The sequence below is a fragment of the Homo sapiens genome, chromosome 10 (assembly GCF_000001405.40).
Source record: "Homo sapiens chromosome 10, GRCh38.p14 Primary Assembly".
Taxonomy (NCBI): Eukaryota; Metazoa; Chordata; class Mammalia; order Primates; family Hominidae; genus Homo; species Homo sapiens.
The window spans coordinates 24,932,083-24,959,515 of NC_000010.11; the positions used below are offsets into that span (position 1 = coordinate 24,932,083).

The 27,433-nt window shown below is 43.0% G+C and overlaps 2 protein-coding genes across 4 annotated transcripts in view, besides 1 other annotated feature; one reads left to right on the forward strand and one right to left on the reverse strand.

Annotated features, from left to right (window-relative positions):
- PRTFDC1 (phosphoribosyl transferase domain containing 1) overlaps nucleotides 1-20,524 on the reverse strand; it is a 103,993-nt gene extending 83,469 nt beyond the window's left edge. For both annotated transcript variants that reach the window (NM_001282786.2, NM_020200.7), the window contains exons 1-3: nucleotides 20,446-20,524; nucleotides 10,248-10,354; nucleotides 5,102-5,285 (exon numbers count right to left, since the gene is read on the reverse strand). In NM_001282786.2, coding sequence (NP_001269715.1) covers nucleotides 5,102-5,285; nucleotides 10,248-10,354; nucleotides 20,446-20,493 — 339 coding nt within the window. In that variant the 5' untranslated portion in view covers nucleotides 20,494-20,524. The remainder of the gene's footprint in view (nucleotides 1-5,101; nucleotides 5,286-10,247; nucleotides 10,355-20,445) is intronic.
- Nucleotides 20,282-27,433, forward strand: part of THNSL1 (threonine synthase like 1) — a 74,301-nt gene continuing 67,149 nt past the window's right edge. The window contains exon 1 of one of the 2 annotated variants that reach the window (XM_017016665.2): nucleotides 20,282-20,366. The gene's annotated coding sequence lies outside the window, so the exon portion shown is untranslated. Of the gene's footprint in view, nucleotides 20,367-23,205; nucleotides 27,407-27,433 lie in introns of those variants that run through there. The other variant, XM_047425764.1, reaches the window with a different exon arrangement.
- Nucleotides 20,685-20,874: a silencer, noted in NCBI's record as "silent region_2229". NCBI's record gives its function as "represses an Ori minimal core promoter by ATAC-STARR-seq in GM12878 lymphoblastoid cells {active_cell/tissue: GM12878}" and the evidence as "EXISTENCE:reporter gene assay evidence [ECO:0000049][PMID:35858748]".

Here is a 27,433-nt window from a genome sequence, read left to right on the forward strand (position 1 = left end):
CCATATCAACATCTCTAGAAAAAGCACTGATGATATTCATTCATAATTTTTTAAGAAAATATGAAAAAACCTCTTGCAAAACTAGGAATAGAAGGAGCTTCCTTAACCTGATAAAGAACATCTTCAAAAAACCAACAGTCAGTATTATACTGACTGAAAACAAGGCAAGGATGTTTTCTCCCACCATTCATATTCAGGAGTGTATAGGAGGTCCTAACTGGCATGATCATGCAATAAAAAGAAATAAAAGGTCTGTAAGTATAAAGGAAGAAGCAAAATCATCTCTATTTAAGGAAGAAATTATTATCTTCATAGAAAACCCAAAAGAATCTATGAAAAAGCTATTAGAACTCATAAGTGAGTTTCATAAGTCATAGGATTCAATATACAAAATTAATAGTATTTCTAAATACTACCCATAAATAATTGGAATTTGAAATTCAAAGAAAAACTTACTGAATATAATAGGATCAAAATCATTAAATATATAAGTATATATCTAACCAAATATGCCTAAGATCTGACACTTGAAAACCAGAAAACACTGAAATAAGATCTAAATAAATTAGGAGATATACCGTGTTCATGGAATGGAAGACTAAATAGTGTTACAATGTCAATTCCCCCCAAATTGATCTATAGATTCAAGGCAATCTTGATAAAATTCTAATGTGTTATTTTGTAGAAATCAGCTACATGATATTAAATTTATATGGAAAGACAAAGAACAAGAATAGCCAAGGCAGTGTGAAAAAGAACAAAGTTGGAGGACACATACTACTTAATTTACAGAGTTATTATAAAGTTACAGTAATCAAAGCAGTGACAATGTAGATGAACAGATCTGATAGTGTCCAGAAATAGACCAACATACATATATAAAGTAAGCTGATTTTCAGTGAAAGATCAAAAGCAACTCCATGGAAAAGGATCATCTTTTTGGCAAATAATCCTGGAATAATCGAACACTTCATGCAAAAATGAAAAGAAAAGGAATCGCAATCCATACCTTATATCGTAGTAAAAAATTAACATGACATGTCTCACAGACCTAAATTTAAATCTAAAACTATGAAACTTCTCTTTTTAAAAAAAGGAGAAAATCTTTGTGATCTTGGGTTAGGCAGATTTCTTAGGTACACCAAAAGCATGATCCACAAAAGGACACACTAGATTAACTGAACTTAAAAAATTTTTTAATAATGCTCTTTGAAAAACAAAATGAAAAAACCTCACTGACTAAAAAATATATCAAAACACATATCTAATAAAAAATTCATGGCCAATATATTTTTTAAAACTCTCAAATACAATAATAAGAAAACAACCCAATTTTTTAAATGGGTAAGATAGTTGAACAAACACTTCATCAAAAAAGCTATATGAATAGCAAACCAGCAAATGTAACTATGTTCAAATCATCATTTATTAGGGAAATGCAAATTAAACCACAATGTGATATCATCACCTATTAGAACAGGTAAAATCAAGAAAAAAATAAGGAAAAACTGATAATACTAAGTGTTATTGAAAACATGGAGTAACAGGAACTGTCACATATGCTGGTGGGAATTCAAAATGATTCAATCCTTTGGGAAAAGAGTTTGGCAATTTTTTTTTTTTTTTTTTGAGATGGAGTCTCATTCTGTTGCCCAGACTGGAGTGCAGTGGCACAATCTCAGCTCACTGCAACCTCTGCCTCCCAGGTTCGAGTGATTCTCCTGCCTCAGCCTCTTGAGTAGCTGGGATTACAGGTATCTGCCACCATGCCTGGCTAATTTTTGTATTTTAGTAGAGATGAGGTTTCACCATGTTGACCAAGCTGGTCTTGAGCTCCTGACCTCAGATGATCTGCCCGACTCGGCCTGCCAAAGTGCTAGGATGACAGGCATGAGCCACTGCACCTGGCCAGGCAATTTATTATATACACTCATCATATGACCTCCCATCTTGCCCCTAAATATTTAGTCAAGGGAAGTGAAGTCATAAGTACACACAAATACCTGCATGTGAATATTTATAGCTGCTTTACTTCTAATTGCTTCAAAATAGAAACAACCCAAATATCCTTCAGCTGATGAATGGAGTAACAAACTGCACTCTATCTATATAATCAAATTCTACTGGACACAAAGAAGAAGAAGAAGAAGAAGAAGAAGAAGAAGGAGAAGAAGAAGAAGAAGAAGAAGAAGAACTGATACGAAGAAGAAGAAGAACTGATACTGTAAACCAAAAATAAAATTCTAAGCCCCCCAGCTGTGGGGAATGAACCCCTCCTCTCAGCCAAGGGCATTCCAAAGTTAACCTGAAAAACTCGTTCAGGCCACGATGGGAAGAAGAAGCCAGACATGCCTCGTGATCCCCTCCTCCCTTTAGGAATTGCTGATAGAATAGACCCCTTAGGTCTGATAAGAAACATTTACAATCTATTCTCTCTGAAGCCTGCTACCTGAAGGCTTCATCTGCATGATTAAACCTTGGCTTCCTCCACAACTCCTTATCATAACCCAGACATTCCTTTCTATTGATAATAACCCTTGCAACCAATTGCCAATCAGAACTTCTTTTAATCTACCCATGATCTGGAAGCTGCCGCTTCTAGTTGTCCCACATTTCCAGACCGAACCAACGTACACTGTACATGTATTCATTGATGACTTCTGTCTCCCTAAAATGTATAAAACCAAGTTGTGTCCTGATCACCTTGGACGCATGTTCTCAGGATCTCCTGAGGGCTGTGTCACAGGTTACTTGTCACTCATATTTGGCTCAGAATAAATCTGTTGAAATATTTTACGGAGTTTGACTCTTTTCATCAACAATACACACAATATGGATGAATGCATTATGTTATGATTTAGGGATTTACTAAAGCTACATGATATATGATTATATCTGTAAGACATTCTGGAAAGGGCAAAACTTTAGGAAAAGAAAACGTATCTGTGGTTTCCAGGGCTTAGGGGTTCAGGAGGTTGACTGTGAAGGACACAAGGACATTCTTTGCATTGTTAAGGAAACTGTTCTATATCTTGACTGTGGTGATTTACATGATTGTATGCATTTGTTGAAATTCACTGAACTCTAAAGAGGATGGATGTTACTGCATGTAAACGGTGGCTCAATAAACCTGACTTTAATTAAAAAAAATGTTAACAGGTTTTTAAAATGCTGTTAACCAGGGACAAATATAATAAGGGTCAGGGCCAAGTGAATGAGAGAAATCTGGTATGAAGGAAGCACAGGGATTTAACCCAGAAGGAAGATAATCTAAAGAGAGAAAAAATTCTCAGGAGAAGATAAAACCAAGAAATCAGAGCTAAGATGTCTTCAAAAACCAGCTTCACTCTGGCCTGAGAGGTGATCAGGAAAACACAGAGTATCTTAAGAAATCAGAACTAATTTCCAGCTGCTCTAGAACTGAGGCAACTGAGAGTCACATGAGGAATGTGGAAGACAGATTGGTGGCCCTGAAGACCGCTGTCCCCTGGTGTACACACCCTGCATAATCCTCTCCACTTGAGTGTGGGTAAGACTTGTAAACGTGGTGGGAATTCGCACCAAAGATTAGGTGACTAGTCAGATGACTTTGAGTTCATCAAAAGGCAGGTTACCTGGGTGAACATGATCTAATCAGGTGAGCTATAAAAGAAGGGCTAAGATTATTCCGTCAGACTTGAAGAAGCAAACAGCTAATGGTGTTGTGAACGACCTGTGGGGTAATTGATGCAAACACCTGGGGACAACCCCTAGGAGTGGAGAGTCTACCAACTCCAGCCTACAGTCAACAAGGAAATGGGAACTGAGCTTGCCAACAGTCAGTGATCTTGAAAACCTCAGATGATATCAAAATCCCAACTAACACACTGATTTCATCCCTGTAAGGTTCTGAGCTGAAAACTCAGCTACACCATGCTCAGATTTCTGACCTACAGAAACTTTAAGATAATACACGTGTATGTTGGTTTAAGCCACTACGTTTGTGGTGAGTTTGCCACACAGCAATAGAAGGCCAATTCAAAGAGTGATTCATGAATTAAAATGTGTCAAGTTAGTTTAGTCAACGAGAATATTTTCATGGTTTGACTCCAAGAGCTCCTCACCCAATAGTAAGTTATTTTTAATGTTTTACTATGCATTAAATCAAAAAGCATCAAAGAAGTTAACATCATAGAGGGAGGAGGAGGGAGACTAAGGAAACAACAGCTTTTTTTTTTTGGCAAGAGTTTCATTGTCATCCAGGCTGGAGTGCAGTGGTGCCATACAGCTCACTGCAGCCTCTGTCTCCTGGGCTCAAACAATCCTCCCACTTCAGCCTCTTGAGTACCTGGGACCATAGGCACATGCCACCACACTCAGCTAATTTTAAAAATTTTCTTTTTGTATATAGACAGGGACTCACTATGTTGCCCAGGCTGGTCTCGAACTCCTGGCTTCAGGGGATCCTTCTGTCTTGGCCTCCCAAAGTGTTGGGATTATATGCATGAGCCACTGCATCTGGTTAGGAAACATCTTTGGAGAATAATTCCATTAATTCTGCCCAGTGGTGCCCACAGAAAGACAGAATTAATGGAGTAAACTGGTGGAGGGGCCTTCTGCTGGAGCTCCCTGGCCTTGTTTCCTCACACTTGGCAATGTGCTGTCCCTATAGCCTTCCCTTCTTTACTTCCAGGCCACAACTGCAGCCACCCAAGTACTAAGACTCCTCTCTGGGCTGGACACCCTCCCATAGGTCCCCAGGACCCATAGTGACATCCAGAGTAGAAAAAACAAATCAGTGTTCACACTCTGACCACACACAGTTGTGGGGCTGGGCACCAGGATATAACCACTCACTTTATCACCATAAAAGAAAGCACAAATCATTACTGCTGAGTCTTCCCATATATGTGAAAATAGAGAGAAGGTCCCCACCCCACGCCCTAAATAGTATCATTTGAATTCTTATGTTAGGTTGCCGTATTCTTGCAAATTAAAATTACCCTTCATTTTCATCTCCATTTTTAAAAATTGCACTCTTCATTTTCATAACATTATTGATTCTTTTATCCTAAAGCATTGTTAAATGAAATGTCATAAAGCGGAACTTGTAATAACTTACCCTGTAACTTTTTAGTCTGATGAAATCAACCTTCATTGAGACAAATCGATCTGAATTTCGGCTGATGTTCTTAAGGTGTTCTACGAGATCAGCACAGAATTTGTAACCTCCTTTAAGCACACACAGGACCATGATGTCACTATATCCTATGTCTTTCATAATATCCTTGGCCAGCCGCTCAATTCTGAAAGAAGGATAAAAGATATATTAAGGCACAACTACTTCTGAGTATTTATGTTGCTTTAATGAAATGCAAGATGTATTGTACGTATTCGATTACTCAGAGGAATGTGGGGAAAACCTTGGGAAACAGAAACCCACCGATAGAAAAGCTTTGTTAAGGTTGAACATAAGGTGTTCAAAACATACTGCTTTTTTTTTTTTTTTTTTTTAAGATGGAGTCTCACTCTGTTGCCCAGGCTGCAGTGCAGTGGCACGATCTTGGCTCACTGCAACCTCCACCTCCTGGGTTCAAGTGATTCTCCTGCCTCAGCCTCCCAAGTAGCTGGGAATACAGGCGCCTGCCACTATGCTCAGCTAATTTTTGTATTTTTAGTAGAGACGAGGTTTTGCCATGTTGGCCAGGCTGGTCTCGAACTCCTGACTTCAGGTGACCTGGCCACCTTGGCTTCCCAAAGTGCTGGGATTACAGGCATGAGCCACCATGCCTGGCAGTATTTACTGAATTCTAAAGAAGACACACGATCATAAAAAATGTACATCAGAATATCTGGCATGCTCCTTAAAAAGGAACATTTGGGCCAAGAGTGGTGTCTCACACCTGTAATCCCAGCACTTTAAGAAATCCAAGATGGGCAGATCACTTAAGGTCAGGAGTTTGAGACCAGCCTGGCCAACGTGGTGAAACCCCGTCTCTACTAAAAATACAAAAATTAGCCGGGCATGGTGGCGGGTGCCTGTAATCCCAGCTACTCGGGAAGCTGAGGCAGGAGAATCCCTTGAACCAAGGAGGCAGAGGTTGCAATGATCTGAGATTGCACCACTGTACTACTCCAGCCTGCGCGACAGAGCAAGGCTCCTTCTCAAAAAAAAAAAAAGAACATTTGTTTCCAACATGATGAAGTAAGGAGGTGAACACATCCTCTCCAGAAAAGCAACTATAAAACTGGGCAAAACTGCCAAAAACAACCATCTCATCATGTTGGAAATCAACCAAAGGCATACAACAAACTGAGAAGCATTTAATTCTGAAAACCCTGAACACTGGGTGGAAACAGCATGAGTCTGGGGCATTCTTGTGTGGGGATGCTCTTATTACCCCCCAGCCCCTATCCCCAGCTCTGTTGTTCAAACAGGCAGTTCCACCAAGGTGGTGCACTGCCAGAGGGAGCTCACCTGATAGGGAACACTGTAAGCTAAAATGGTCACCTTGGTGGCAGGGCTCCACTATCCTGAGGTGCAGTCACCGCTGAGCAGTGCACTGGCAGGCTGGCTGGGGATTTGATAGGAAGTTCCAGGGAGGAGGTTAGACAGTCATAGAACAGGGGCACACAATAAGTTCTTCATGCATCTCAATTGACCAGAGGCTGTACATATGCACAGCAGAGTGAGTTCAAGCCACCCACACATCCCTGGACAGTGAAGGCTGTGTACATGTGCAGAGAAGGCACAAGAAAGCTCAGGGGAAAGTAAACATCGAAAGATTTGAAAATGGTTGGAAATTTGAATCTACTTTCAAGTCCCCACACACCCCCATCAGCAGAGAGTGGAAGACTTACTGGCTTGACGTATTTGAGCACAACTTCTAACCAATTGTAGGCCAAACACTAAGCTATTCAAACACAGGGTGATCCCTAGTAAGTGAGGCTTAAAAATAAAAACAAGAGAAAAATAAACCTCACAGACATCAGAAGTCACACAGTGAGGTGGGCAGATCTCTTGAGGTCAGGAGTTCAAGATCAGCCTGGCCAACACGGTGAAACCCAATCTCTACTAAAAATACAAAAATTAGCCGGGCTTGGTGGTCTGCGCCTGTAATCCCAGCTACTCAGGAAGCTGAGGCAGGAGAATCACTTGAACCCAGGAGGCGGAGGTTGCAGTAAGCCCAGACTGTGCTATTGCACTCCAGTCTGGGTGATAAGAGTGAAACTCTGACTCAAAAAAAAAAAAAAAAAAAGTAGAATTTCACAGAGTGGAAGACAAAAAAGGAAACAACAACAGCAATGAATAGAAAATAGTTATAAATACGATAGATACTAAACATTATATCAATACTCATTTTAAATATGAATGGTCTAAATATAGCAATTAAAAGACAGACTGTCAGGGTGGATTAAAAAAAGATCTAACTGTATATTGCCCACAAGAAGCTCACTTTATGGCTTACACCTATAATCCCAGCACTTTGGGAGGCCAAGGCAGGCAGATCCCTTCAGGTCAGGAGATCAAGACCATCCTGGCCAACATGGTGAAACCCCATCTCTACTAAAAATACAAAAAATTAGCCAGGTGTGGTGGTGCATGCTTATAATCCCAGCTACTTGGGAGGCTGAGGCAGGAGGTTCACTTGAACCCGGGAGTTGGAGGTTGCAGTGAGCCGAGATTGTGCCACTGCACTCCAGCCAGGGTGACAGAGTGAGACTCTATCTCAAAAAAAAAAAAAAAAAAAAAAGAAAAAGAAACTCACTTTAAATATAAATATAAAAACAGATAGATTAAATGGATGGAGTAAGACATGCCATGCTAACATTAATCAAAAGAAAGTTGGAGTAGCTATTTTAATTTCAGACAGAGCAGACTTCTGAGTGAGGAATATGCAGGGATAAAGAGCATCATTACACAATAATAAGGAGGTCGATTATCCAAAGAGACATAACAATTCCTAATATATATGCTCCTAAAAACAAAGTGTCAAAAACCTAATAGAACTGCAAGGAGAAACAGGCAAATGCACTATTTGGAGACTTTAACATCCCCTCTATCAGTAATTGACAGGTCCAACAGTCAGAGAATCAGTAAGCATATAGTTGAACTGAGAAGCACCATCAACTGACTGGATCTAATTAACACATATACAATACTTCACCCCACAACAGCAGGATACACATTCTTCTTAAAAGATACCAGTAAGAAAATAGTAAGACAAACCATAGGCTGGGAGTAAATATTTGCAAATCATATATCTGATAAAGGACTATTATCCAAAATATATAAAGAACTCTTATAGTTCAATAAGAAGATGAACAATTGAATTTAAAAATTGGCAAAAGACTTGAAAAGACCTCTCTCCAAAGAAGGCTTATGAATAGCTAACAAGTATACTAATGATTAGGAAAATACAAATTAAAACCACGGTGAGATACCATTAGACAGCCACAAGAATGGCTATAATCAAAAGGACAGACAATATTCAATGTTGGCAAGTATGTGGAAAAACTGAAACCTTCATATGCTGCTGGTGGCAATGTAACAAGGTGCAGCCACTTTGGAAAATAATTGGCAGTTTCTTACACTTACCAGAAAACCCAGAATTCCACAATGAGAAATCCATCCAAGAGAAATGAAAAGATATGTCCACACAAAACTTATATGTGAATGTTTATAGAAGCATTTCCACAATAGCCAAAAATGGGACATCCAAATGTACATCAACTGGTCAATCAATAATTAGCTATTGTACGATTTTCTTACGCAAAATGGCCAGAAAAGACAAATTTATAGAAAAAGATGCTGGAAGTGGGAGCAGGGATTGGCTGCAAACAAACTTTTGGGGATGATGGAAATGTAAAACTGGATGGTGCTGATGGTTGCCTGACCATAAAAATTTACTAAAAATCATTTAGTTGTTCACCTGCAATGGGTGAATTTTGTGCAGTAGTATATAAATTAATCTTGTGTGTGTGTGTGTGTGTGTGTGTTTGTGTGTTTGAGACAAGGTCTCGCTCTGTTCCCCAGGCTACAGTGCAGTGGTGTGATCATGGCTCACTGCAGCCTTGACCTCCCAGACTCAAGTGATCCTCTCGCCTTAGCCTCCCTAGTAGCTGGGACTACAGGCCTGTGCTACTATGCCTGACTAATGTTTTTTATTTTTTTGTAGAGACGGGTTCTCACTACATTGCCCAGGCTGGTCTCAAACTCCTGGCTCAAACAGTCCTCTTGCCTCAGCCTCCCAAAGTGCTGGGATTACAGGAACGAGCCACTGTACCCAGCCCTGTAAATTACATCTTAATTTTTTTTTTTTTTGAGACAAGATCTCAGTATTTGAGATTAGCCCAGGTTAGTCTCAAATTTTTGGGTTCAAGTGATCCCCACACTTCAGCCTCTGGAGTAGCCTGGATTACAGGTGCATGCCATAGCCCCTGGCTTATAAATTTATTTCAAAGGTGAAAACGGACATTCTTGGGCCCCACCCTAGAATATCGATTTGAAATTTCTAGACATAAAGCTTAAGAATATGCATTTTAACAAGTTTACTGGATGATTCTCTTGTACAAAGAAAAGGCTTAGGGTAACCCTACCCCCTACCCAGGAGTCAATCATGTTCTGACTGATTTTAAATTAATTTTAAATTAGAAAATTCAGGTAAGAAATGCAAGAATTTGTTTAAATTAGGAGCTTCCCAAACTGGTATTAAGGGAAATCTCTTCTGAGAGTTGTAAATAGGTAAACTGAGTACAAAGTCTCCCTTTGCACAAAAAAAGGTTGCTTTAATTGTTAAAGTCAAGCAGGTTTCTTTTCTGTGTTCTTCTTTTCTTTTGGCTGGAATTTCCATATTTTCAATATGCTAATGTTTGTTTTGATTTGTCAACTGAGAGACAAAAATATGGAAGACACAAAATTTCCAAAGTTTATTTGATCACGGAACGTCCCCCCTCTGTGAGGGTGGGACTTCTTTGCCACGGAAAAGCCATCTTAGGACATTGTTATTTTGAGGCTGTTACTTATAATAGCTTATGTATGTATATCCTTCTTACCATATTACCATACCGCCTGAACAAATGTCCAGGTAAACCATTCAATTTAAGCATACATTCATTTTATTCCAAATTCACTGCCCTATATAAAAGTTCTCTCTACCACTATAAAACGCAGCTCAGGAATAGGGTCCTAAAGTATATTGTGGGATTCACACAAGTGTGGGCCGGCCCAGTGCAGGACCAAGATTGACACAGGAAATCACACTCACCTGTCCACAATGATACCATGAGGGATGAGGACATACTCCAAGTCTCCATAATAGTGCTGTGGGTACGTGAATAAATTCAAGTCATACCCTGGCCAATCATCCATAATCTGCAAATCAAATTATTTTGGTTATGGTATTTTTTCATCAGAAATTTGTTTAAAACATAACAAAAGAGTATCACTTGAGAGGAGAATTCCCTCAACTTATGAAAAGTTTAGTGGAACAAGGTTATTTGTTTCCACAACCTGATACAAGGCGCAGTACTAAAGTGAACAGAGCACTCCATTCCCAACTATTGGCATCATAAAATATTTGTTTTGTTTTGTTTGAGACTTTGAGACAGAGTCTTTCTCTGTCACCCAGGCTGGAGTGCAGTGGGGTGATCTCAGCTCACTGCAACCTCTGCTTCCCAGGTTCAATCAGTTCTTCTGCCTCAGCCTCCCGAGGAGCTGGGACTACAGGCATGTGCCACTACGCCCAGATAATTTCTGTATTTTCAGTGGAGATGAGGTTTTGCCATGTTGGCCAGGCTGGTCTTGAACTCCTGACCTCAAGTGATCCACCTGCCTCAGCTTCCTAAAGTGCTAGGTTTACAGGCATGAGCCACCACACCTGGCCTATCATACAATAAAAATATAAAGTCAGTGTTTTATAGCTAACCCGATAGCATTATTTGTGAGGGCATATGTGTAATATATAATTTTTCTCCAAATTATATATTTATAATATATAATATATTTAAATATAAATATATCATAATAAACAACATATTTGTAATTCTAAAATACATGCAGTATCATTATTATATTATACATACTATTACATTTCTATTCATTGTAAGTGCCTCATCTGCCTGGAAAAGATTTCTTATTAAAAGTACGTATCTCCTGGGATCAGAGTAGACCCAAACTTTTGAATGTCTAGTCACTATAGTAAAGACTTTAAAAGGATGTACTATGTTAGACACTTAAACCGTCCTATTAGAAACTGATGATCCAGAAAATTGGCCTATTCACATAGTGGATGGACTGATAGTAAGTCTCCCTCTCGCTTAGGACTTGATGTGCTAGTTTTACGGTTAGAATAGTAAAGAGGTGGGGGAGAAATGGAAGGTGAAGGTGGAGTTACTTTTACTTTTGGAACATCAAGAAAAGATGTAACAATGAAGTGTTACACACTCAGATCATACTCTAGCTGTATTCCAGTTTCCCATTCTTTTTTTTTTTTTTTTCTCTCTCTGAGACAGGGTCCCGCACTGTCACCCAGTCTGGAGTGCAGTGGTGCGATCTCTGCTCACTGCAACCCTGCCTCCCAGGTTCAACTGATTGTCCAGCCTCAGTCCCCTGAGTAGCTGGGACCACAGGTGTGTGCCACCATGCCCAGCTAATTTTTATGTGTTTTTTGTAGAGATGGGGTTTTGCCACGTTGCCCAGGCTGGTCTTGAGCTCATGGACTCAAGCCATCCGCCTGCCTTAGCCTCCCAAAGTGCTGGGATTACACGCATTAGCCAGCACAACTGGCCTCAGTTTCCCATTCTTTACTCACTCCTGCACACTTTGACTCCTCTGTCCAGCTTTGAGCTTCTGAGGCCTTTCACAATGCAGACCCACCCTAATTTTCCAGCACAACTCCCTACACCTTTGCTTCCTGCCTTCAGAATGGTTTGCAGTCAAGTCAGGATCCTTCCCAGCTCTGGGTTTCATTCATTCATTTGCCGTGCACCCCTTCATCCTCTCTCCCCCTTTCCTCCTCTACCTCTGTATTCCGAACTCAGAAGCCCAGGTCACACCCCACTTCTTCCTGGAGGCCTTGCTGACTGCCCCCGGCCTCTGATCTTCTTTCCCAAATTCCTGGTGCCCCTTGTAGCTCTCTGTCTTACCCAAGGCTCCCATGCAGGATCCTTGAGAAGGCTCCTGTCCCTTGGAATTGTCACTGACTCCTTTCTTTCATCGCCCTCAGGCAACACAGCAGAAAACTATCTTCAACTCCCTCGAAATTTATCCAGGACTACCTCTCGGCACCTCCACTGCTATTCCCCCACCCCCAGGCCAGTCCATTGCCACCATGATTTCTCCCAGGACTGTCCCAGGAGCCACTACACTTGCCTCCCTGCTTCCACTTTGCAGCCCCTCCACATGGAAGCGGGCATGCTCCTTTAAAAATGCACATCACAGCCAGGTACAGTGGCTCATGCCTGTAATCCCAGCACTTGAGAGGCTGAGGCGGGAAGACCTCTTGAGGCGAGGAGTTAGAGATCAGCCTGAGCAACACAGCAAGATCCTGTTTCTGCAAAAAATTAAAAAATTAGCCAGGCAAGGTGGTGTCTGCCTGTAGTCCGAGCTACTCAGTAGGCCAAGGTAGGAGGATCACTTGAGCCCGGGAGTTCGAGGCTGCAGTGAGCTATGACTGTGCCACTGCACTTCGGCCTGGGTGACAGAGCAAGACCTTGTCTCTCGAAAAATAAAAATAAAAAACAAAGGACATCCTATCATGGCAGCCTTCTGCTTAGATTTTTTTCAAGGGCTTATCACTTTACTCCAAGTAAAGACCAGAGTCCTCACTGTGGCTCACCAGGGATTACCTTGTCTGACTCATTCCTGGCACTCTTCCTCTTCCCTCTGCTTCAGCAGCTGCTCTCTTTCAAGTCCTCCGATCTGCCAATCACACCCCTGCCTCCTGAGCTTTGCACTGGCGCCTCCTCTTGCCTGCAACACTCTTCCTCCAGATTTCCACATGGCTGTCCTCTACTTCTTTCAAGTCTCCATTCAATGTCACCTCTGCAAAGACGCCTTCCCTGACCTTCATAGCCTGTTTTACCACTGGATGATGTGTGTGTGCATGGGTGTGTTCTGTCAGAACATGAGCTCCTTCTGGCGGAGACTTTTTCTGATTCATTGTTGAATCCCTCAGTGCCCAGAATGCTGATCTGGAATATGGTATAGTGCTCAAAAATGTTAAATGAATGAATGGATGACACAGTCTCCATCTTCCGGCTACCTGAAAACCTGAACTCCAACCTGAATTCTCAGTTTGTCTCCTTGTGATAAAGAGCACCACTGTTCAAGGTTCTGGAGATTCCAATGTGTCATATCCATTGGCTGACTGATGGCCACATGGTGTATATCATCTATGTTATTTTTTAAGAGACAGAATCTCCCTCTGTTGCCTAGGCTTGAGTGGAGTACCACAATCATAGCTCACTGCAGCCTCGAACTTTTAGGCTCAAGCGATCCTCCCACCTCAGCCTCCCAAGTAGCTGGAGATAAGGAGTGGACAACCACGCTCAGCTTATTTTCTTAATTTCTTTTGTAGAGACGAGGTCTGGCTATGTTGCCCAGGCTGGTCTCAAACTCCTGGCCTGAAGGGATCCTCCCACCTTGGCCTCCCAAAACACTGGGATTATAAGTGTGAGCCATCATGCCTGGTCAATCTGCATATTTGATTTGAAAAGTGTCTCGTTTGCTCTCCCTCTACCATCAAACTGGCCGGTGGGACTGCTGGATTTGCACCAAGCTCCTCTGGCTGCCACCCTGAGAACTCCTTGTACCTGCTATAACCTCTAACACTACAGCAGCTGGCCAGAGTCTAGACTACCAGCTGTACATGAGGAGATTCTAGGAGAGCCTCTGGCAGGCCACAGTAAAGACCAGACCAGGAGAACCCTGACTGGCCCCAGGCCCCAGGGGGATCATCCAGGTGTACAGCACTTTCTGGATCACCTTCCAGACCACATGTACTATCTACCCCACTTTCTGGAGCTCCTCCACCAGTGGCACCATTAACTAGTGGTCTTCTGAATCCATTCCTCCAACCACATCAATCCTTTACTGCCCCCGTTCTGGTTGAATCTTGGAGCATACTCTCCACTCCATGTTCAAGAGTTTGGCTCTGACACTTACTACTGTGATGTTAGGGAGATGACTTACTGTCTCTGAGATCCAGTTTCCCCTTGCTTTAAATAAGACACAGTAAAACCTATGGATAGGGTTATTATAAGGATAATGTACTTAGAATACCTGGAACACTGCATGGTGTATAATACATGATGTTTGACGCATAATGCCAAAAAAAGGAAACAGACTAAAAGTGCCAAAAATGAATGCCAAAAATAGGAAAAAAATGATAAGAAAATCACAAATGAAACAAACCTATAAACTGTAATATGGATCCATAGCCCAGAGGCCACACAGAGTAGTGTGTTAAGAGCATGGACATGGAAATCTCACACACCTGGGACAAGCCTGCCAGCCATGAGACCTTGGGCATATTAAATTCTCTTAGTGTATTCATCTATGAAATGGAGTTAGTGCCTGCCTCATATGGCTATGGTGAGCATTAAATAAGATAATGAATGTAAGACTCATATCAGTTTCTGGTCTACAGTACTTATGCAATAAATGCTAATCATTTAGATGAACTGAAACATCAATCATTTAACAACAAATTATATGTTTTAATTCATCTAAAGAAGTGCCTCAAACCTATATGCCAGTGTTATTATCTTAGTTAAAACTATACATTTGAGGCCTGGCACATTGGCTCATGCCTGTAATCCCAACACTTTGGGAGGCTGAAGTGGGAGGATCACTTGAGCCCAAGAGTGTGAGACCAGCCTGGGTAATATAATGAGAACCCATCTCTACAAAAAATAAAAAAAAAAATTGTTCTGGTGTGATGGCGTGTGCCTGTAGTTTCAGCTACTTGGGAAGCTGAGGCAGGAGGATGGCTTGAGTCTAGGAGGTCAAGGCTGTAGTAAGCCATGATCGCATCACTGCCCTCCAGCCTGGGTAGCAAAGTGAGATTGTCTCAAGAAAACAAAACAAAAAGTATAAAAGTAGAAGAAATATATTTCTCTAAAACTGTTCTATAATCCAAATTGGCCATTATTTTCAATTAATCTTAAATAGTGAGTTTTCATTGTTGAGATGAAAGTCGATTCAAGACGATGGAAATACTGGTTTATGCTTTGCTAACTTCAATGGTGCATGCAAATCGTGTTGTAAATAAATCAAAACCTGCAGGAATGGAGGTTGCTATGAACTGTAGATAACTGTTATTCACTTGCTTTTTAAAAAATCAAAACCAGAGTCTGTAGATAGTTTCAGTATCACAGATAATATGCTCTAAGTGTATTCAGTACAATGCTTTCTCTGTTCAAAACAGCAAAACATAGCCAAGCTGGGGGAAGTGACAAACCCATTAAGTGAGTCATTTTATGCAACATCCAAATCCCAGAAGTAATTCTGATTCTCTTTTTCGCACTGAAGATGCACTGAAAACTTTGTAAGTCATTAAAAATAATTTTTTTTGTGCTTAGACTATTTTTTGCATCATTTTTCTCCCTAAGGGAGAAAACACATACAAGAAGCTAATCTCTGCTCCTCTCCCCTGCTGAGCTCCACAGATTGGCCCTGTTCTCTCCTTCAGGCCATAGCTCTCATCTGTCCTCCACCAGCAAGAGAAAGGGGGTCTCATCCCTTCACTCTAATTCAAAGAATCCCAGACAGGAATTCTGGGATTCCTGTCCTAGCCCTAGAGCCAGGGAAGGAGGTACCCTGGGAAGGGCCCCACCTCACAACCATACATCTTGAAAAGTGGGGACAAGTGGTTTGCTAAAAGATTCCCAGGTTCTGCTCACAGAGGAATGAAGGAAGCTCGACAGGCCAACCACCTCCTATCCACATGCCTTCCTCTTCTGTGGTGGGTTTGCCCCACAGAAGGAAAACTCATTACCACCTAGTAGAGCTGTGCTTTCGATGGATTACTTATCTCTGATATTACCTGATTACTTATCTCTGATACTGCCGTATTTTCATGGGGGGTGACAGGAAGCCAGCCATAACAGAAACACAACAATCATTTCTGATTTCTCTCTTCTCCTGATTCCTACCAAACTCACTTAGGTAAGTACTAATAATAGCTCAGTTGATAATCATTTGGCAAAACCAAACCAGACAAAAACAAACAAACAAAAACATGTCTAATAACCCGATCCCCAAAAGCCAGGTGGATAGAGAAGATCTTTATCTCTCCCTGAGAAGTAACAAAGAGGTATCAACCAGGAATCTGGTGACTGTATTAGCTCCAGATCAAGTGACAAGCCAACTCTGAGCAAAATTTCTGACCTTAGGATCTACCTCTCTTATGTGGCAATTAGCATTTGCTACCATTTATTGTTAATGGTATAAATGTCCTACCTCCCCAGTTCAACCAAAAGCCAATTTATAGGCAAGAGCCATCTTAAATCTCTTAATATTCCCTTCTCTTGCACAAACTTTACTTCTCGTTTTATATTTATATCATCTGACTCTACATCCCTTGCCATCTTTATCAACAGATTTCTACCAACTCGGAATTTTCTTCTCTACCTCATTCCTGGACAATTCCTTGGCTGATTTACTCCAATGCCTACCTCAACGATCTTTCCAACGACTTCATCTTGTAGCTCCTTCACCAGCCTTAGCTCAAACTACATTCTTAACTCAAATCACATCTTTATTCCCCATTTAGCAATACATTCACATAGCCAGACCAGTCCTACAGATGGCCCCAACCCTGAAATTCCATCCTGGAATCACAGCTTGCTATGTAGTATAGTGATTGAAAGCTGGTTCAAATCCCGCTTCTGCCATTTGCTACTTATGCGACCTGGGTGATTTACTTAATCTCTCAGTGCCTCAGTTTCCTCTTCTGTAAAATGGGGAGCACACTAGACCTCCCTTACAGATTTGTGCTCAAGAAATGCTTGCTATTATTACCTGCCCTCTGCCCCTTTTTTCAGATGGGGTCTCACTCTGACACCCAGGCTGGAATGCAGTGGCACGATCATGGCTCACTGCAGCCTTGACTTCCTGGGCTCAGGTGCTTCTCCCACCTCAGCCTCCCCGGTAGCTGGGACTACAGGCATGCACCACCATGCCTGGCTAAGTTTTGTATTTTTTGTAGAGAGAGGGTTGGCTGCCCAGGCTGGTCTCGAACTCCTGGGCTCAAGTGATTTGCTCTCTCAGCCTCCCAAAGTGCTGGGATTACAGGTGTGAGCCACCACTCCCAGCCACCTGCCCCTTTTTAAAACTGGTACTAATTTGATTTTTTGTATCCCATCCTTGAGAGCTTTCTATTCTCCCAGTAAACTCATCCTCTCCAGCTCTCCCTTCCCTCCTGCCTTACATGCCATGAGCTGCCTTCTACCAGCAGCTTCGATTCGCTCTGAAGTTGCCTGCTTATATCCAACTTGAGGTTAATCTAATTATTCCAAGTTCTACTGGAGAAAAGGATGTAAATGTAGGGACTATCTCCATTATATGTGGATTATTTCCCACCTTTGTGGGCTCTCATGCAAGCACCAAGCCCCTTGGCAGCTGGTCCAGTTTATACTCATTTTTTTTGTTTATTTATTTATTTATTTATTTATTTTTTTTTTTTTTTTTAAGAAGGAGTTTCACTCTTGTTGCCTGGAGTGCAATGGTGCAATCTTGGATTGCTGCAACCTCCACCTTCCGGATTCAAGCAATTCTCCTGCTTCTGCCTCCCAAGTAGCTGTGATTACAGGCATGCACTACCATGCCAAGCTAATTTTGTATTTTTAGTAGCAGCAAGGTTTTACGATGTTGGTCAGGATTCTATTGAACTCCTGACCTCAGGAGATCCACCCACCTCGGCCTCCCAAAGTGGTGGGATTACAGGTATGAGCCACCTCACCTGGCCCTCTACTCTCTTGATACCCCTCTCACTACCTCTTTGCATCTTTCAAAAAATTACCTTGCTTCCAAGAGGACCTCTGTTGACACCAATAGACTGGGCTATTTACAGTGTTCTCTCACTTGTTTTTTAGACTTCAACAATTTACCTACTCTATCCGTGCATCTAGATTCACCTTATTCTTTTCTAAAAGTATGTAGTATGTTACGGTAGTACAAGTTGAGTACCCCTTATCCAAAATGCTTGGGATCAGATGCGTTTCCAATTTCAGATTTTTTTTCCTTTGGATTTTGGAATATTTGCATTATACTTCCTGGTTGAGCATCCCTAATCTGAAAATCCGAAATCCAAAATGCTCCAGTAAGCATCTCCTTTCAGCATCATGTTGGTGCTCAGAAAGTTTCAGATTTTGGAGCATTTCGGATTTTGGATTTTTGGATTAGGGATGCTCAACTTGTACTATATTTTAACCATTCTACCAATGCAGTGGTTGTTTAAAAGATTCTCCCTACTAATGGCTTTGTAATTGTTAAATACAGTGGCTGTTTTCCATCTTGGTATCCGACTTGCTGTCCCTGTAACATCTGACACTTCTGATGACCTCTTGACCCCGCCCCTCCTGCTCAACAATGCTCTATTCCCAAGGCACCCACCATGCTGCCTGCCCTCCCACCCTTCAAAGTTCTTTCTCGGTTCCTTCAACCAGCTTCTCCCCCACAGGCAGCCTCTTATATTTGGGACTTTCCAGGCTTCCATCCTTAACAGTTGCTTTAATTGTTTTTTCCATATTCACTGAGCACTCCCGAACATTACATATTATTCTTTTTGCTGATGACTTCCAAATCTCTCCAATCACTCTCCAGAATTCCAAATGTGAATTTCAAATTGCCTACAGTGCAGGCCAACCTGTGGGCCTTACAGGCACTACAAACTCAATTTGTCCAGAATGAACTTAATGATTGCCCTTTTTGCGTTTTAGTCCCCCTCCCATCCATCACACCGCTAGGCTTGCCCCTCCTCCTGGGGCAACTGGAATGGTTTTTGTAAAAGCATAAATCGGATACAATGATTCTTTTGCATTTGGTATGCGGGTCTCTGCCTGCAGTCCACATGGCTACTCCTGTGTACCCTTCAGATCTTGGCTCAAAGGTCACCGCAGAGAGGCTGCCCTGACCACCTGAGCAAAAGCATCACTCCCCCCTTCTCCTCCAATTACCCTCTATCCTGTTACCCTCCTCCTATTGCACATATCTCTATTTGAAATTTTCTCTATTTGTTTACACACTGCTTGCCTATGTCTTCTCTAGAACGCAAGCTCATGAAGACAAGGCCTTTGTCTTTTGCACCCCAGAGCCTACAGCACCTCCTACAACCCAGCAGGACAATAAACGTGTGGAATGAATAAATCAACTCCTCATCCTTTCAGAAGGAAAGGTCCTGCTGTTAAATTAAGCACTGAGCCCCACATTTCAACCTGACCCTTCTGTCTGAATGTGACACGTTTCCCTCCCCAGCCCACTTACTTTAGTTCAGGCCATTCATATTCATAAACAGATTATCTGTGAATGACAAGCTGATCCCTGGAAAGAGATGGCAAGTTAGCCCCACCCACCATCCTCACCACCATTGAGTTTCACACTGAACCTGACACAAGTTATAACCACCACCTTCTAGGAAAACCACTTCTCAGGGAGCAGGGAGGACGTGGCCACAAGGTCAAGAACGGGTTGGATCCTAGCACACTGAGAGATGGGTACCCTCTGGCTGACACCGTCAGGATTCTCAGGGTTAATGAGGCTCAGTTCTGGGAAACCAGCACCCCACACCCTCCCATCCGGACACACTGCTAGATATTTTACATGCATCCTCCCAATTGGCTCCAGAGCCCAGCTTGCTGTTGCTCCCTTTTACAGACAAGCCATAGGTCACTCAGGAGCCGCCAGCGTGTCCTAGAGCTCCTGCAGAGGCCTCCACTGCCAGAGAGCCCCCAACCTGGGTACCAAAGGCTTCAAATCTCAAGCTCTGTCCACTTGAGCTACTTTATTTCCTAGCTGCCTTCAAAACCCCTCAGTGTGCTTTTTAAAAACAAAACTTGAAGCCCGCCCTGGAGGAGTCAAGAGGAGACCCAGGAAGAAGGAGGCCTCCAGAGCAGCACGCGGGGGTCTCTGGGGCCCTGCCGGGCTCGCAGAAGCGACTCCCCGTGGCTCGCGGGGATGGGGACGGCTGGGCGCCGGCGGGACGCTGCAGGAGCGAGCTACCGGCCGGAGGACACGGGGGGACGCTGGGAACTCGGGGTGAAGGGACGGGACTCAGAGTTTCGTCAGATTGGGGGCGGGGAGAGGAGGCCCGGGTCCGAGGATGGAAGCGATCCCCGCCGGGAGGGAGAACAAAGCGGTGGCCCTCTCTCTCCCCCGACGCACGGCAAGCATTTAATCTACAAGCAGGGTGCCAGGGAGGGAGGGGAGCGGGCCGAGCCCCAAAATAGGGAGTTTGCATTTACCACGACGCCTCGCCCGTAGTCTGGCGCCTCCTCGCTGCTCCCGGCCATGTTTCTCCCGGGGAACGCGGGAAGGGAAGACGGCGCGGGAAGGAGCAGGGAGGGCGAAGGCTGCGTGGGGGATGGGACGTGGGGATGGGGACGGGGACGGGGACGGGGACGGGGACGGGGACGGGTCCGCCCCGCCCCGGGCCCGCCGGCGGGAAGCAGCGGCCTGACGCGGATCCATGGCCCCGGCGCTGCGCCCCCTCCCCTGGCTAGGCCGCGGGGGCGCGGGGAGCAGCTGCCAAGCCGCTACCGCTCCCCCTGAGCGCGGGCCCCGGACGCGTCCCTTGCGGCCGCCGCTGTCGCCGCCGCCCCCTGCCGGATGGTCGCGTGCAGCCCCCGGCCCCGCCGCCAAGCCCCGCGGGGACTCTGGAGCAGGAAGCCCGCGGCAGGAAGAGAACGTGTCCCCCAGGCCCCTGATTCCCAGATCCACCGTCCCAGCCCTCGGGCTAACAATCTCCTTGACTCCTCCCTGCCAGATTTCATGCACGCGATTGTCCCAAGCAGAAGCGTGAAAGAGCCTGTGAGCCAGCGTGCTCTTGGAGGATGGGAAGTGTCCTGGATGTGTTTTCAAACCTTGGAGCCGCCACCCACCTCTCTCCACCTCCGCTCATCTCCCTCCACCTCCCCTCACCTCCCTCCACCTCCCCTCACCTCCCTCCATCTTCCTCCACCTTTCTCCACCTTCCCCCACCTCCCTCATCCCAGGGCCTGGAGCTGGAAAGATTACACCCGATTGCTTTTAGGGTGGCCCGGATCTGCAGTGATCAGATCTGGGCTTTGAGGATCCAGCCTTTCGGCCTTTCGTCAACTGCATTCAGGGGAGGAGGGGGAGAGATTTTTACACATTCTCTGCTTTACCAGTTTTGCAAGAACATCTGGTCAGATTGTAATTGTTCCAGGTTGCAGCTTTACTAAAGCAATCGCTCTTTTCTGATTAGAAATCCTTCTTGTATGAGTCTGTTGTTCATTTCAACCCCTCTCACATGCCTATGCTCCGGTTCTTTGTCCACTCCTGTAGGTTCCTGCTTTTTCTGGGTGTGTCTTCATTCCCCAGGTCCCTGACATCTCACCAGCGTCTTCATTCACTCAGCCCAATTCGGGTCGAAGCCCTGAATCCAAGAGAACTTAACACAGTTTTCCTGATGCAGGCGTCTTTTGTTCATCTTCGAATTCTGGCACACAGAGGGGAGAGGAATGCTGATTTTGCCTAGTTTAAAGGGGAAATAGTTATCAATCGGTTAATGACGTTCTAGGTTGGAAAAATATTAGTCATTCAGACTTGGCGCCCTGGTCCTGCTCAGCAGGGCTGGCTCTTCATGTCGTTTCTAAGCGCCAGCGCCTTGGAGGGTGCAGCTCCAGAGATCCCTGAAATCAGGCATCTGCTTGGCAACTGCCTTACAGAAATGGGGGGTGTTGTTTCTCAGCACACGGGTAAACATTTTCTCCTAGTAATTGTGAGAGGGCGTTGTTTTGAGCCATTTTTGTAGTCTGCATCTCACTTCTTTTCCCCAAAGTCAAGCACCATCTTTTATTTTCATTTTCAAAGACCAGGCCCAGGAACCATATTCACAAGCAACATCATTAAAATTTCCAGGAGCAGAAAAGTGCTATCATTAGGATGATGATCAAACTTTAGAGTTCACAAGACTCTCCTGGGGAGCTGGTTAATGCAGCTTCACTGGGTGGGGAAGATCTGTGGAAGCACCTAGAATCCTGTACCTGCTGAGAGACACCAGATGGGTGTGATGTGGGTGGCTCATGACCCATGCTTTAGGGGATTCCACTAGACCATCTTACTGCTTGGATATCAAAACTTAGCCATGAGGCTCAGTGTGGGTGCAGGGCCAGATTGGGGGGTACCAGGAACTTCAAAATATGTCACAGGAGTAGTTGCCATACAGAAGTCAAAAAGCATCAACTTTGGTTCCAGCCTAGACACTGCGGAAGATGTAAGGGAAATGGTAGATAAATCTTCTTCCCTTAGAAAGGCTATTAGTTTAAACGTAAAATCCAACAAGTTCACAGTGAAAAATGTAACTTGCTTGAAAGACAACAGGAATCTTATGAATGTGTGCTCAAGAACATCCTACATAGACTTATATAGGTCATCCTATAAAGGGCACAGAATGATGAGTAAATAGTTTTTAAAAATCTAATTCATTTTATTATCTTTGTATATTTTGATAATACTTTGTGCGGTCTGATTACACTTCGATACTTTGGAGAGCATTAACATAATACAAAATAATACTTGATAACCCAAATAGTATTTGCAAAGACCGGTATCCAGAAATAACAGCTCATCTGTCCAAGGCTTTATTCTTAATCTTGCATTATGAGGATTTAGAGGCAAAAATTCTTTTTAAACCTCAAATTTCTGTTACATGTTGTATTAGTCTGTTCTCATATTGGTATAAAGAACTACCTTAGACCTGGATAATTTATGAAGAAAAGAGGTTTAATTGACTCACAGTTCTGCAGGCTGTACAGAAAGCAAGGCTGGGAGGCCTCAGGAAATTTACAATCATGGCAGAAGGCAAAGGGGAAGCAAGCACGTCTTACCATGGCAGAGCAGGAGAGAGAGAGAGCAAGGGTGTAGTGCCACATACTTTTAAACCATCAGATCTTGTGAGAACTCACTCACTATAACGAGAACAATATGGGAGAAATCCACCCCCATGAGCCAATCACCTCCCACCAGATCCCTCCCCCAACACTGGGAATTACAATTCAACATGAGATTTGGGTGGGGACACAGAGCCAAACCATATCACATGTCTAGTGGAATAGCTTTGGACTAGGACCTCTATTTTTCTGTAACAATCCATGTTACTTTAGCCAATGAGTCTAAGCCAATTATATCAGTGTAATATACATCAATTTTCTCATCCATAAAATGGAGCCACCCATTTATTCTCTACTGCATATGATGATGAGATGAATGTGAGATAACATGCAAGAGAATTCTTTGCAAAATGCTATAAAACTGTAAGATATTATTAACCTGACATGCTGTAAAAATGTATGACCAAATGTTTGTAAAATTATTCCATGTGAAAATGACAAGGAATTGTCTTTTAAGGTTGATGGGGCTAGGCACCATGGCTCACACCTGTAATACCAGCACTTCGGGAGGCCAAAGCAGGAGGCTCACTTGAGGCCAGGAATTCAAGACCAAACCTGGGTAACATTGTAAGACCACATCACTATAAAAAATTAAAAACTTAGCCAGGTGTGGTAGCGTGGCACCTGTAGACCTAGCTACTGGGGAGGCTGAGCTGGAAAGATTGCTTGAGGCCAGAAGTTTGAGGCTGCATTGAGTCATAATTGCACCACTGCACTCCAGCCTGGGTGACAGAGCAAGACCCTGTCCCTACAAACAAATAATAATAATAATAATAAAAGATTGACGTAAGGTGACCAATCAGGGATAGTTATAGTCCAGGGATAGTCTAGAGCTGGTATGAGAATGAATACAGAAAAATGATAAAATTATTAAAATAATGAGATTTTTCATAAAAAGGGATATTTTAGCTCAGACTGTCCATTTCCTTTTCTTTTTTTTTCCTTTCCAACTTTTATTTGAGGTTTGGGGGTACACACGCAGGTTTGTTTGGGAAAATTGCATGTCGCAGGGGTTAGGTGTACAGATTATTTCATCACCCAGGTAATAACCATAGCACCTGATACATAGTTTTTTGATCCTTACCCTCCTCCCGCCCTCCACCCTCAAGTAGGCCCTGGTCAGACTGTCCATTTTCTAATATACCTTTGAAAGAGCTATAAGAATAAAGATGTGCATCTTTGCAAAGTTAATAACCAGTCAATATACTTGTATTTTTCTATCATTCTCTTTATTACATTTTAGCAGTAGTTTCTCTGCATTTTATTTATTTTTTTTTTTTGGTGTTTATATTGTGTTTACTTACTTTTTTTTTTAGTTTTATTTTTAACTGACACATAATAGTTATACATATTATCTATGGGGTACAGTGTGATATTCCACTACATGTATACATTGCATAATGATCAACTCAGGGTAATTAGCATACTCATCATCTCAAGCATTTTTCTTTTCTTTGTGGTGAGAACATTCAAAATTGTCTCTTCTAGCTGATTTGAAATATACAACACATTATTGTTAAATATATCATTCTGCTGTGCCATACAGCAGGTGTCCCCAACTACCGGGCTGCAAACTGGTACCAGCCTGTGGCCTGTTAGGAACTGAGCTGCACTGTAGGAGGTGAGTGTCAGCGAGCATTCCCACCTGAGCTCTGCCCCTGTCAGATCAGCAGCCGCATTCGATTCTCACAGGAGCACAAACCCTATGGTGAACCGCACATGGGAGGGATCTAGGTTGCATGCTCCTTCTGTGAACCTAACTAATGCCGGATGATCTGAGATGGAACAGTTTCATCCTGAAACCATCCCCCCTCAAAATCCGTGGAAAAATTGTCTTGCACAAAACAGGTCTTTGGTGCCAAAAAGGTTGAGACTACTGCGTTAGTGTACCAGAACTTATTCCTCTCATCTAACTATAACCTAGTACCTACTAACCAACTTCTCCTACTCCTGCCACTCCTCCCCACCTTTCACCTGACTCTGCTAACCAGTATTCTAGTCTCTACTTCTATGTGATCAACTTTTTAAAATTCCACATATAAGTGAGATCATGTCGTATTTGCCTTTTGTTTCTGGCTTTTCTTGCTTAACATAATGTCCTCCAGGTTCATCCATGTTGTTGCAAATGACAGGATTTCATTCTTTTTGTTGAGGTCTTATCCAAAAAATCCTTGCCTGGACCAATGTCATGAAGTGTTTCCACTATGTTTTTTTTCTAGCAGTTTCATCATCTCAGGTTTTACATGGCAGTCTTTATTTTGAGTTGATGTTTGTTTGTTTGTTTGTTTGTTTGTTTGTTTTGAGACGGAGTCTTGCTCTGTTGCCCAGGCTGGAGTGCAGTGGTTTTATCTCGGCTCACTGCAACCTCCGCATCTCAGATTCAGGTGATTGTCCTGCCTCAGCCTCCCAAGTAGCTGGGATTACAGGCGCCCACCACCACGCCCGGCTAATTTTTGTGCTTTTAGTAGAGATGGGGTTTCACCACATTGGCCAGGCTGGTCTCAAACTCCTGACCTCAAGTGATCTGCCTGCCTCGGCCTGCCAAAGTTCTGGGATTACAGGCATGAGCCACTGCATCCGGCCTTGAGTTGATTTTTGTATATGGTGAGAAAGAGGGGTCTAGTTTCATTCTTCCACATGTGGATATTCAGTTTTCCCATCACCGTGATTCTCTGCATTTTAAATTCTGTAATCATCCTGTGCCACTACCATGGTGAAAACACAAATATTTATAATTCACTGAATTCTCTGCCAGCCTGGAGGCTTTTGTCCTGGAAGTATATACTAATTTTTTTTTGACATTTTGGTAATTGACTTTTGTCAATACAAATCTGTAATTGAAGGAACAGTTCAGTCTATCCACTGAATTGTTCCTAGCCCGTCACTCAGTGACACTAGATTGGAAATACAGAAAGGCATTTAATTCTTTCTGCACTAGACTGGAAATACAGAAAGGCAGTTAATTCTTTCTGAGTCTTGAAACATGAAAGTAAATTAAAAAAAAAAACCTTTCAGTCTGGGAATTGTGTTGAAATCCATAAACATCTGAAACTTAGTGACTCAGATTGTTAGTCACAGAGTCACTGGTTAGAATCTGGATGAAATCCACTGTGGACAAAGGCCAGTAATAATGATGATGATATTTTGCTTTTCCATAGTGCCGAACAAAACTCTTTACAAATGTTACAAGTACAAAAGAAAGAGTAGCAAGACATTTTTTCTGCAAGTGCTCAGGCTAAGTAAGACTCTTGCTAACTTTGAAGTAGTTTATTTTTCCCTCTACATAAATACAAAAGAAATGTAGTGGCAAATAATTGCAACAAAACCCAACTTAAGCAAAGGCCTCATTAGTATTCAATTAGCATAGTAACCCGTCTTTCCCGGTCTCTTGTTTGAAGCAGACTGGATCCAATGTGTAGTCTTGGAGTAAAGAAAATAATATCTCCAGAGTAGGTCTTACAAATAAAGCCAAGGCTACACTCAATTGTGTTTTGTATTATTACACTTTCGTTAGTAATTCACCTTCCACTGAAGAACACACAGAGGGTAGATCTAAGTTTGTTCTCTTGCAATAATGTCAGACCTGAGGAATATCAGCAGTAAGCGCTGGGCAGTTTCAGAGATATCCTCCCACTATCTCCCCTTCTGACCGGAACAGGAATTGGATAGCTTCAGAGCAAAAGAATAATGTGTCCATGTGTTCCTCCAGATCTCTGAGTCCTGGCAGTCGACCTCAACTCTCTTGGCCACCATAAAGCAGTCATTGAAAGGACACAGCTGCAGGAACTAGGGACTAAGCAGTAAATAAATCCACAGGGCTGGAGGCAGAAGTTACGTACATGACCCTAAAACAATACTCTGTGGTTATGAACAAACTGATTAGCATCTGAGGGTCCTGTAGCAGCTTATGCAAAATTAATTGGTGCCTCAGCCAGTGCTGAGTTTCTAAAGGAAAGATGTCCACTTCAAAAACAAAAACAAAAAAAGGGGGGCCTCCTTAGTCAGCAGCAACTTTGCCTGGTGTCCTGGGGAGACGATCAGCTAGAATGGGAATGGAGCTGTTTATTCTCTTAGCTGTACATGGATTCTCTTCAGATCAGAGCTGATGTATAACAGCCACTGGCAATATCCCAAGACATGATCCAGTGATTGCCAGGTTATGGGTTGCATCTTAGAGTTAAGGTGAGAGGAGCTTGGGAAAGAGGTTGAGAGATGTGGCTTGAGAGTGGGAGAGATGGAGAAAGTAAAAGAAATTGGACACTGATCTACATAGAGCAACACTTCCCTAATTGTGAGTTTGATCCACTTTATATTTGAA